The 13,369-nt window shown below is 38.0% G+C and overlaps 1 annotated feature.

Annotated features, from left to right (window-relative positions):
- Window positions 790-1,361: an enhancer, noted in NCBI's record as "NANOG hESC enhancer chr5:148099086-148099657 (GRCh37/hg19 assembly coordinates)". NCBI's record gives its function as "activates a minimal SCP1, AML or CMV promoter by ChIP-STARR-seq in naive H9 embryonic stem cells {active_cell/tissue: H9 hESC(naive)}" and the evidence as "EXISTENCE:reporter gene assay evidence [ECO:0000049][PMID:30033119]".

Here is a 13,369-nt window from a genome sequence, read left to right on the forward strand (position 1 = left end):
AGGTGTGTATTTCACTTATTTTTGTAACTTATTATTGACTTAAGGATTATTAAGACATACTGTCAAAAAGTGCTGTGTGGCAAAAGCTGATAATTACCAATTTCATGCCCATTTTCCCTTCCTCCTTCAGAATAGAAACCTAGTTTTGTCAGGGATATCGGTGTGCACTGATACAAAATTACTTTTTTCAGCCTCATTTTAAGATAGCAGTGGCCAGGTAACTAAGTTCTGGATAAGGCTTTCAGGAAGGGTAAGAGGCTCTTTTTTGTTTTTCCATATTTCCTCCCTCTTCCTGCCCGGAATAAAGACTTGATATCTGGAGCTACTTTGTCTGTCTTGCTCCTTGAAGTTGGAAGTCACATGTTAATGACGACAGAATAAAAAGATAGCAGTCTAGGACATAGGTGGTATCCTAGAACCACTTCTACAACTATAGAAAGTCAACCTACAGACTACCTGTATATGAGAAAAAACAAACCTTCATCTTGTTAAACCGTATTGGTTCAAGCTTTCCTTATTAGCCCCCAAATGTATTTCCTAATTGCATCATTCTCTGTGTGGCTAAATAAGAACAGAACAAAAAATATTCAATCAAGGTATGAAAAAAAGAACAAAACATTTAAATTCTATGACTGTCAAGGAAGCGTTCATTAAGTGTGAGGAAGGGATTACTAGGTGGCGGTCATGGGAGAGCTATGATGTCCAAGTTGGCTACAGGAGAAGGGTTTTTATAAAAGAAAACTCTAAGAATCCAAGATATTTTATCTGTGGTTTCAAACACTTCACCCTTTGTGCAATTATAAAACTGCATTATTCATTAACATTGAATTTGTTTAGTCTGTAGGAGAAATGACTGATCATTGTAAAGTGTTTCTGGGATACTTTGGAATCTATTTAATGAAAAATCAAATGAGACAGGATAACAAGTTTAAGTTCATTTGAGTCAACATCAATGCCAGTTACTCCAGAAGCAGGAAAAGAGACCAGCAGAGAGGAAGGTAATAGAAAGCTCTTGGCGCTGCTTTCCAAATTACCTCTAATCCACTAACGGGCTGGAGACATCTTACAAATGCTAATTAATTAAGCCCCCTACCAGTCAAATGATGACTGTAGGAAGACGCCTCTGTGATACAGGTCTGGACTTTAAGAGAACACAGGGGGCTAGTAATGGACATGTAGTTAAGCAGGCAGTTGTTGAAGTCCTGTAAGGTCAGTTAAGGCAGTGAGAAGCACTAACCAAAGAAGAGTACAGAATTGAGAACTTGGAGCAACGTGTGTAATCAGCAATGACCTCTTTGCCCTCTTCTCCACGCAGTTTTCCACTTCTACTTCAAGCTAAAATAAGCACATTGCACCCTAATCTGAGAATTCTTTGTCTTCAGAAACTCTTCTAAGTTTCACCTTTGTGTTCTTTCAATTGCTCATTAATAACACACACATTTGCTAGAAATTATCATCTCATGGTATTGTCCTGTTTTCATGCTTCCTAAATTGTGTTCTGCTGAATCACGTTACAGAGGACATTTGAATCAGCCACAATACTTTTGGCTGCAAATAAAAGAAAGTTCAACTCAAAGTGGCTTAAACTATAAAGGGAATTTATTTTTTCTGGTTCACTTAACTGATGAGTTCAAAGGTATGTCAGCTTCAGGCACTGATTTAAGATTAGGGTACTCTGTTTCCCTGCATTTCTCTTGGTGCTATTCTCATCTGTTTGCTCTTTCCTCTGGCTGATTTCTATCAGTAACAAAATGCTACTTCATTTGGTGAGGTGTCTGGTGACACTGTTATATATCAGAGCATTCAAAGAGTTTCTTTGCTCAGATACCAAACAAATGCTTTGAGCTTCATCACTAATAGACAAAATTAGATTATGCACCCACTCTGGAAAAACATTTACTGACCCAAAGAATGGTGAATGAGTCAGTTTAGGCTAAGTGGTACTGGGATAGCAAATGACCCCAAACTGTCAGTGGCTTGCAAAGTAACAAAGGTTTATTCTCATTCAACTTGCATGTTGGCAGCTGCAGATCAGCTGAGACTTGAGCCATCTCCTCTTCATTTTGAAACCCAAATTGAAGATGAAGTCACTGTCTAGGACATATTAATCTTGTAGCAGAAATAAACGAGTAATAGCAGAATTATATGGTGACTCTTAAAACTTCTGCTTGAAACTGGCACAGATAACTTCCACTCACATTTTGTAGGGCAAAGAAAATCATTGCCTAAGCTTTTGTCAATGGGATGAAAAGTAAAATCTTTCTGGAAGAAAATCCAGATAGGATGAGTTTGAAATATTTTGAACATAATGCAATCTACTGCAAATGCTATATGTTGATTGGCTTAAACTGGGTTGCTCATCCCTAAATCAGTTACCAGGTGAGGGAGATGGGATTATTCCTTTGGGTTTATATCAATCAAGGTCTACTCCTCTAAGTGAGAATGAGATGAATCATACCTAAACCACCTGGTCTAATTTACCTACCAATAGATAGGGCATATTGGATACACCTTTTAAACATAAGAAACCTGGAACTTATAGGATTGAGACTTCAATCCTTGAGACATCAATGCTTGAGACTTCAGAGCCAGAATTTAAAGCCAGGTCACTTAAATTTATAGCTAATTATTTCCATCGTACTAAAGACTTTGAAATTGGTACTACTATATCTAAAAACAATCTCCTTACCTGACTCATTTGACCAACAAATTTAACATAGGTAAAGATCATATTGGAAATTTACTATTACTTTTGGACAATCACCATCTTTAAAATAATTAATAGGTCTCAAATTTGAAAAGCCACATCAATTGGAGAAAAAAAATTAGAAAATGGCATATTTCATCTAGAAAAACAGGCATTCTCATACAATGCAGTATGGAATATATATTGTACAAACTTCCTTAAGGTCAGTTTGGCAGTACTGTATCACTCAAAGCAAAAGCCTTTAAATGTGCTCATAGATTCACCCAGTAATTCCACATCTAGGAATTTATCTCATGCAAATAACCATGGATGAGTGGGAAAAAATAATAAAAATAAAAATAAACCACAAGGGTGTTCAATGAAACAAAAATTTAAACAATCTAAATATTCAAAACAATGGGATTTGTCAAGTAAACCAAGAAATATGCATTCAACAAAGTACTATATGCTATTAAAAAAGAACTTTACGCCTGGATAGTTAATTACATAGAAAGATTTTTAAAAATTGTTCTGGCAAATGTGAGTTAGTAAATGGTATATGCAATATGTTTCCTTTTATATATATGCAATAATAGAAGATTTGGGTTTTTTAAATTTTTGTTTATGTTTATACTCAAATTTTCTACATCAAATGTATATGACTTTAGATGTGTATGAATTTCATACTAAGAAAATAAACAATAAAATTTTCTTTTTTAATGAGTCACCCTCCTAAAGCCAAGTGAAACAGATGAGATTACCAACTGCAGAAGTAATTAGCTCTAAGAATATGTTGCTGATTAGACTAGGATGTCTCTCACATATGATAGAAGAGATTAAAATACAACCTAAGCAATCTATGATATGTAGTTTTGTGATAGCCCAACAAAACTGGTCTAGAAAAGTGGAAAATTCTGATTTAAAATGATCAGTATGACTTTCACCCTTGTCAGAGAGTGAGGCAGAATTTTACTTAGGCAAAAGATGGCCAAATATCCAAATGTTCCACTTTGGTGTTTAACAATACCAGGTTCCTTTTATTTTAATCCTGTACTGACCAAGCTATCTTCTGTCTGGATTTTTCTCTTTCATCAATAAGCAAAACCTCACGTCATGACACATGTTATTTGTCCTGACTGGTAGAATTCCTACTGAACCTGTCAAGGAAAGAATTCTGGTCTACAAGCCAGTTTTTGGGGAAATGTAATCAGTGTCATTATGTTTGTCAAGCTCATTTTCAATTAAGAATGAGGTAATCTCATCAAGTAGGGGACAGCCAACTGGCTTCTTTCTCTTTATTAACATTTCCACTTTCTTCTATACTTATAAAATTTCCAGTGAAACTAGATATGTTGGCCAACGGTTGTAAAATTTCATTCTTGAGATCTTTAAAACCCATGGGTAGGTATTGCCTCTACTCAGTAATTTCATTAAAATGTTTGATTTAGTACTACAGAAAGGAAAATTAGACATGTGACTTTTCCATATTCTAACCATACTTCTACCTAGTATTTCAGTGATAAATCTCCTTTACTAATGCCACAGTGCCTGGGCACATATTGCACAGCCACATTATTGTGCCTTTATTCAGACTCTTCCTTAAGTCTTGAACCCTTCTCCTACCACATGTTAAAATCCTTCTCAACTACCAACTCCCAGATGGAAAAATAAGTTCTCTGGCCCATACCACTAAACCCTAGAACTCTGGATCATATTAAGTAAGAATGTAAACTCAATACAAGCCTGTAGTTTATTTTGTTTATTTCTGTACATATATTGCTTATTTAAAAGTGTTTTTGTGTTAGTAGGAAATGCAAATTGCAAGAATTAGTGTAATTGTCTTATTTCTAGTTTCTCTCCTCACTAGACTGAATGCTTATTGGAAACAGACAAGAACAGTGTTCATCAGAATCTCTGATGGTATTGCACAACATGCATGTTTAGCTTTTTATGCTGATAGTTTTCAAACATATAACTAGTAGAGATAATGGCTGCAGCTCAAATAACTCAGTTTCTATTTTAACTGGCTTTTTCATATTCAACAACAAAAATTTTGAGCAATTCAAAAATGCACTTATGCATGAACCAAAGATAGAGTGATCTCATGATATAAAATCAAATTTCTATCCTGAGTGTTACATCCCTCACTTAAAAGCTAAAAACTTTCAATGTTTTCAAGTCCAGGTCCTAATTTAATAGATAGAGTCAATTAAACCTCTCAAAATGTCACTTGGAGAATGGAATTCGCAAGATAACACTTCTTGCTGAAGCATAATACATCAGTATCAGAAATATAACTTGCACTAGTATTCAACATTTGTTTAAAAAATGCCATATTCTGAGGCTTTTCATTATGATAGCTGAGCTCGCTGCATTTTTTCCCCAAGAAAAGTAAAAAACGTGACAGAGAGAAGCACCCAGACTGTGCCAGGACATACTTACTCAAGAATGTCTTCTAAAAGAAAAGTGAAATGAATAGAAAAGTAAGTCTATGCCTCCAGATACCCCTACATCATGAAACCACAAAGCAATTCTGGCTCAAGACCACTCGTGAAGTATTTTGACATTTGCTCCTTCTCCGGAAAACAGAAAAGTATTTTTGAAGTTATAATACACTTCTGCAGTTCAACAAGGAATAACAGAATCTCATAGTTGAAAATATCATGAACAATTTGACCTGGGGCCAGGAAGATAGGAAATGTAAGGCAGGAATGGCCAATAAAGAGAAGCATCCTAGGCCCGGTGAGGAGTTGGTCCCCCAGAATTGGGCAGAAGGCTTGCAGCTAATTCAATCCAGCCTTGGCAGGCTCAGATAGCCAAGGACAGCATGAGCGTGTGCACAGCAGCTATTCTGCGTCATGAGAATGGTAGCATCACAGTCTCAAGTTGCTCTATTAAGTTTGAAGCACAACTCCAGTAGGATCAAATAAGCCAAATGTATGAGGAATCAGGGTCACAGACAGATTAGAACTCACTGCCAGGCTCCGTATCTGGTAGAGTTGCAGTAACAAGCTCAGAAAAGCAAGGCACAAATGAAGTCCTGATGACTTGAAATTCATGACCCACGTGAACAAGAAATGCCCATTGACATTATTCACTTTGGCACAAGGTAGCAAAACCACTTACAGCCCACACAGCTGGTGAGGATGGAGTTCCTGTTACACTGAGAGGCTAGAACTGAGGCAGGTATTGGGAATAGATGTAGTTGTGAGCAAGTCCTAAAATCAGGGAAACCCAGAGTAATAATAGCTAACATCTACTGAGGGTCTACTATGTGCCAGACTTTGCACTGGATCTTTATATGAATTATCTTTTACTATTATCATTACCACCACTAACTATGAAGCATTTACTGAACATATGTTATGTGCCAAGTATTTTTCTATGTATTTTATCTGCATTATCTAATTTAGTCCTTACAACAACTGTATGTGCTAAATATTTCGTATTTCAATTCTTACATAAAGAAATTCTGAAAAATAACTGACTAACTTGTCCCTGATTCAATACCTTGCTCCCAGGTCACACAGATGAACAAGTGACAGAGCTGGGATTTTAATCCAGGCATCCTGAATCTGGAGTCCCAATCACTGCCTCATGATCTCATTGAACCCCTAGGAGTAGCTCTTGCTATATGCAATTTACAGTTGATGAAATAGACTCATTGAGGCTGCATGATTTGCCAAGGACATCAAGAACCTTCTGGTGTCCTCATTTAATCAACCCAGAAGGATCTTGCCTTGGATCACCCATTAAGAAAGTGCCAAGGGCACAGTGAATTTGTGTGTTCCCATCTCAAAGGTAAGGATGGGCTACTTACACTAAACGGTTTCCTCATCTGCTGCACAAGTCTCTCAGTTTTTGCCTCTGGTTACCTCTTTCATTTTCTGGCCATCTCATAAAATCTAGAATACAACTTTTTTCTGTCATTCTTCCTTTCTTCTCTCTCTTCATTCCTAGCAAGTGAATCTCACCACATATAAATCTTAATCCAGAGAGATACTCCCTGAAACTCAGTGAAGTCAGCCTGGGAGGTTTCAGGAAGACAGTAAGGGCAAATGAATCTCTAAATTACTTGTATTAATCAAATTCCTCCTAAATTTCCTCACTTCATTGTTTTCCCACATGACCACACCGGCTTAGAGCCAGATCCTTTCCTTAGCACAATTCGTGACACCTGATAGTCTTAAGAGTTGCTTGATCTAAGACAATAAGTTACTGCTCTGCTGTAGAAAACCGGGTAGCATTTAACTGGTGGAAAGAAAAAGGGGTGGGCAGTAGTGAGCCGGAACTATTTATGAAGCTCCAAATTGGACTTGACATGGCTGGAAGAAGGCAGGAAGAAAAGAGGGCAGAAAGCACAGGAAGAAGAGTCACCATAGTTTTCATGTGAATAAATATTAGAGCAGCTCGCTAAGGACACAGGTGATTACTTCCGTCATTTCTCAGCATATAGACCAGCAGGTGCAGATAAGGAGCATGTCCCTGTGGGAGGCTCAAGGTGCTGCAGTGGAAGTACTAGCATTTTGCAAATAGCCCGGAGTATGCAGGATGCTGGGCATGCATCACCTCATGTCGTTCTCACAAGAGCACTGCCAAAGTGGCTCCTAAATAAAAATGACACAAACGGCTATACACTGAGAAGTAACTTTCCTGTCTTTGTCCCTGTCTAACGCCATTCCCGTGCTTAACCTTTAATGGGAGCCATTTGATTTGTCCCTCATTTATCCCTCTGATTTTTTTTTTTTTTTTTGAGACAGAGTTTCACTCTTGTTGCCCAGGTTAGAGTGCGATGGCATGATCTTGGCTCACCACAACCTCCGCCCCCGAGGTTCAAGTGATTCTCCTGCCTCAGCCTCCCGAGTAGCTGGGACTACAGGCATAAGCCACCACGCCCAGCTAATTTTTGTATTTTTAGTAGGGATGGGGTTTCTTCATGCTGATCAGGCTGGTCTCGAACTCCTGACCTCAGGGAATCCGCCCGCCTCGGCCTTCCAGAGTGCTGGGATTGCAGGCGTGAGCCACTGCACCCAGCTGATTTTTTTTTTAAATTTTGTTTGTTTTGTTTTTGTAGATACAAACAAATGAAATTATATAGTCTTATTTTTACCCAGGAGCAGTAGTATTATCCATGCTCTGTACTCACAGGGAAACCAAAGTTCAGATAAATTAACTGTTTCTTCCTCTGGGCTGGTCTGTGGCTGATGCAGAATCCTCCTGCTCCTGGAGTTGCTGCTGGCAACAGGATCCAGCCTGAAGATCAAGGATCAAGGGACACAGCTGAGAGTCACTGTAGATTCTGAATTCAGAGTTGCTGCTTGAGTTAGCAAATTGGAAGCCCTGAAAAATGCCATTCCCCTTTCCTGTGGTGCTAAGAAATCAAAGATCTAAGCTTTTGCACCACTAATGCCTGAAGCTGGAGGTTTTCATGAACCATTCAATGGGTGTCTTTATGAAAGCTTCCTAGAAAGAAAGGCTGAGGTATGTGTGCTTGGGGTAAGGTTGTCAGATAAAATACAGGGTGCCCAGTTAAATTTGAATGTCAGATAAGCAGTGAGTAATTTTTTATTATAAGTGTGCTTTGCAACACATTTGAATGTGTTTGAGGATGATGATGATGATAATGATGATGAGCTAAATCTGACGGCCCCAGCATAGGGAGGTGTTGAACATTGGCCTTTAGTCCTCTAAGGAACAGCTGGCCTCAGATCTGAGGGGCTGATGGGTTCCTAAAGTTTTGGGTAAATTGGGATCTAACCCTTTATATTAATAAGTCCTAAAATAGAAGTCTTGACTTCTAGGTTTCATAAACCTTAAGAATAGAGAAGACGGAGAACCTTCATTATTTCTGGAAATACGGCTTTTTGAGAGTTTTCTCAACCTCAATTAAACTGCCACAAAAGGGCCTGAGTATAGCAACTGTAGCCTAACCTAGCTAGTGCTGTGTTGGCATTTCTCGGAATTGTTTGTTGTTATTAATTTAGCAGGTGTAAAATGATTTATTTTACTTTGGTTTCACTTTCTTGATTATTTCATGAGCTAATATAAAATCATTGCATGATTGATTTCTGTTTCTTTACTATTCGTGTTTCTTCACCATTTGCACTCTTCTGTGTTTCTATTTGTGCTCCCCTTCATATAGAAAATAAACCCTTTTATCCATTTATGTCTAATTTTAAATGAGCTCATCACAGATTATTATAGATATTAGACTGTCATATTTGATGAAAAACATTTTCTGTCTTGCTTCTTATCCCTTAATTTTAATTTTTAATTTACAGATGTTTAATGTTTATTCACATGAGTATATCAATATTATTTCCTTTGTAGTTGTTTCTATTTACTTCAAAGCAATAGAAATTTGTCATCCCTGTATTCATCTTATAAAAGTTTTACTTTCTACTTGTCTTTCTATGCTTAAGAAAAATCAATTAACTCTTTAATCTAGTGATTCTCAAAGAGTGGTTTGAGCATCACCTGCACCAGATTACCTGTTTTGTTTGTTTGTTTGTTTGTTTTAACGCCCATCCCCATTACCCTTGGAAGACCTTAGTAATCAAAGTTATTCCAAAGGACCATGAAAACATGTATTTTTAACCACCTTCTAGGTGATTCTTCTGCATCTGAAGCTTGCAAATCACTTCTTTAAGCCATATGAAATTACTAGACATCTTTGTTTTCAAGCAATAAGTTGACTCGAGATAAGCAAAAATAATATTTGTTGGAAAAATTGGGAGAGTGGATGTAATTGAAGTAAAACCTGAGGAGCTTGGCTTGGAGATGGAAAGATCACGCAGCTCCGGCAGACCTGAAAAGAATACAGGAGTGAAATGAAGGAACACTCACTGTCCTCGACCCATCTCCACCCCCACTCCTCAGGATGTAAGCTCCATGGGAACAGGGATCTCTGCCAGAGCAGGTGCTCAATGAGTGTTTTTTCTTGTTGTTGCTCCATTCACAGCCCCTTGAAACTGTCTCCAATTGTCCTGACTTCGGCGACAGCCACCTTGTGACCAGAAAAGGGCAGAGAATTTATAGTCCCACCCACACTGCATATACAGAAGAGGTTATCTCCCAAAGGAAATTAAATTTATCACCACAGGAAGGAAGCAACATCTTCAGTGGGTTAAAAACAATTATCTAGTGTATCATCATATAAAATATGGCTCTAAGATAATTTTTTCCCAAATGGTTTGCCAATTATTCCCCAAATCGCTTATTCATTCATCAGTTTTTCAATATTTCTTATACTGAGTACTTTACTTAACATGGGTCACACGGCAACAGCCAGTTACATCTATATTGAGATTTGTATTTTTATTCCATACACCTGGAACTGGAGGTTAATAACATTAAATTCACTTCATTTAAGATACCAGGTTTTCCCATTACCTTTTAGAAACCATTAAAAGATTAAATAGGCTGTTCCTTGTGCTACCTACTTGGTTTCATTTTCTCCAAATATGCTTCTAGTTTTAATAACCTTATTCTTTGAATTGCAGGCATCTTGCATTTCCCTCTAGGACTAAAAGTATGTTTGTTTAGCAATGGAACTCACTCTGCTTTTTTTCTCTGTCTTTAGGTATAATCCACACAGAAATCAATCATGCAATTAAAAATTTTCTTCTTTGAACTTCTCAATAACAGTGATCTCAATCTTTTTCATGTGAGTTTATTTTAGGAGATATAAAGCCACAGAAAACCAAAGAGGAAAGCTCTAGCAATATGTACCCATAATTTCTCAAGGTTCTTTAGCATTCAAGGGAGGCTTTCTGCTTAATAGCCAAATAATTCTATCTAAACCCCCATTCAATATTTTATCAATTTATTGTATAATAGCTATATTTTATCCTCCTTCTTACTCCTGAGAATTCTCAGGAAATAGTTCACACAATAACAAATCCACCTTGATTATCATTGGCCATCTCTTACTCTGAACCACTGCTGTAGGCCCCTCTGCTGGTCACCTCTCACAACTGTTTCTCAGGATCTTTTTGCAAGATGTTCTCAAAGAACACAGCCCAAGGGACACAGCCCCTGTCTTGGTATAGCCCATGCCAGAAGAACACAGACCTTTTCCTAATTCTCCTTAACCCAGCACATGCTAAGCTGTGAGGTCTGATGTCTACTGAAATATTGATAATAATGCAAGGAAAATGAAAATTTGTAACTGATACGAGATAGAACCACTCCTATGATCCATAGGTCTGAGAGTGTTTTTCCTCCTTCCTTCCTTTCAAGAACTGGCTCATCTCCCCCATGAGAATTTTATTGTCTTTTTTGCCCATTGAGTCCAAACTCTTACCTGCTTCAGCCCCAGAGGAATGAAAAAGCAAACCTACCCCCTTCCCTAATTTAAGGCCCAATTTATTTCTTTGATAGAATAAATCACAATAAAAACATATCCTTTCCACTATTCTGGGCTCCAGACAAGGCCACTAGAAAGTATAGTTCTCTACATATGTTCATCTGACTGGGGGACACAGAACACTTTAATCCACAGTGAACTAAACCACACCAGCTGCAGATCATGTTTACAGCTCAGCTGAAACAAAACATCAGATCTGCCTGCTGCCTGTTGGGAGGAATCAGGTCTTAGGAAGATCTATCAATATTTAAGCCAACATATTTCCCAAGAGAAAACAGTGATTTTTCTGGGATAGCCCAAACTAAATCTACATGAAGAAAATAAAACATCTCTTCTTGTAAGGACACAGTCATATCAAGGATACTCCCAATTTGTATTACTAACAGAGCACATAACTTACATCCTGATCTGAAAACTTTAGCAGGATTTTACTGACATCGTGGGTTCAGAGCTTCCCTGAGTGGAGGGAAAAGCAGGCATCTGTCTTACATGTATGTGATGTAATGTGTCGCCAAAGACTTAAGGCTAGGAAAGCAGTCCAGGAGGGCAAAATAAGCCTTGAATTCCCTGGTGAAGCATGATGAGTGATGTACAGAGGAATTTGGTAAACAGCAGGCTGAAAGTTTATGCTGGCAAATGTTACCTCCAGCAGCAAGACCCAGTATGAGAGACAAATGAAACATCCTTGGCAGCAAAGGCAGGTTTCTATTATCTTTGTTGTAAGGAGGCTTATCCTTGGGTCACAAAAGTCTGTCCAGGGTAATGATTCAGAATGCCATAGGGAGCTGCCAACAGCAAGGGCTGAAGGGAGGATTTGATTCATCTCTTGCTGGTATTGCTTCTCTTGCGGTTTCAATGCTAGAAGTGAAGTATCAGTGACAAGAGCTTGCTCTCCTGGAGAGGTGTTCAGAAGGCACAGGAGCCAGCAAGGTGGGCTCCATTTCAGGTCTTCACCATTTATGAGCTGGGCGGCTGTAACTCTGGGCGAGGTGTTTCAAATTTCTACCTGCCAGCTGGAAAATAGCACAGCGAATGGAGGATCTGGGCATGCTTTACTAGTTTTCAAGCTTGGATGACGGGGGGATTGGCAAAAGTGAACACCTAAGGGGAGATGGATACAGATGGCAAGACAGAGAATCACGGGACCCCTTTTACAAATGAGTAGCCCCCAACTGTCAGATAATTTGAGCTCGGTTTCCCTGCAGTTTGTCCTTTTCAGATTTTTTTGTAAAAGTTTAAAGGAGCTCCAGCACAATTCATTTGACAATAGTAACTATTTACTGTGACTACTTCCAATTGTGGCCAAGATCTGCCCTCTAGTGGTCTGACAATTGCAATGCCTCTTACTATTACATTGTTGAACTTGGTAATTTTCAACGGTCGGGCGACCCCTGTTGTCATAATAGTCGTATCTCAGTATGTTGAGCTAAAAGAAACTTCAAAAATCATCTGGTCTGTTTCTTTTCATAACTAATTCCTCCCAAAAATGCACCTGGCTCTTGCTTTAACACCCAACTCCACGTAAAGATAGCAGAGCAAAACAGGATCACAGAAACTTCTTTCCCCACCTGATGAAATGGTTATTTTTTAAGCCAAATAATACATTAGCGGCTAGAGAGGAAAGGGTACTGCTTGAATCATAAGGTTTGGCATCCATGAAAAGAAAGATTCTGATATGACTGGTACAACTTCTAAGGCCAGCCCTTCTCCCAAAAGCAAAGGTAGTCAACGAAATACTGAGAATTCAAAAGAATATGCTTTAATTAAAAAATAAATAGAAAGCCACACCCACCTCTGAAACTGATTCTTTGGTGAGGAGAAGACACGATAGTTCCAGATAAAGTGAGAAAGACATCAAGGAGAATCCATCCGCGTCATTTTACAGAAACTACAAACAAAACTGCTCCCTGTTAAGCATGAGCAAAATGAAAAGAAACAGTACAAAATTATGCAAATCTGCTACTACAAAATAAGTAGTAAGCAAGAAAAAGGCAAAACAAAACCAAAACCAAAAACCCTCAGGAAGAAAATAAAACTCAAAGGTGAAGTGCAAGTTCTTTTTGAACGCTTAATTACAGAGAAGAGTTCATTAAGAATATCAATTCAGTAAAACAGTACCTCTAAGATAAATTATAAAATAAAGAAGATGGAAGAAGACATTGTGGAGCTAAGAAAAATTGAAAAACAAAACAATGAGTTATAAATGTAATAAGTTATAAATTGCAAAGGAGAGAAAAATGTAGCTGCAAATGTCATGGAGAGATGGCTGGGGACAGTCATAGAAAATGCAGGATGAAAAGACAAAGCAATTAAAA

Source organism: Homo sapiens, chromosome 5 (genome assembly GCF_000001405.40).
Source record: "Homo sapiens chromosome 5, GRCh38.p14 Primary Assembly".
Lineage (NCBI taxonomy): Eukaryota > Metazoa > Chordata > Mammalia > Primates > Hominidae > Homo > Homo sapiens.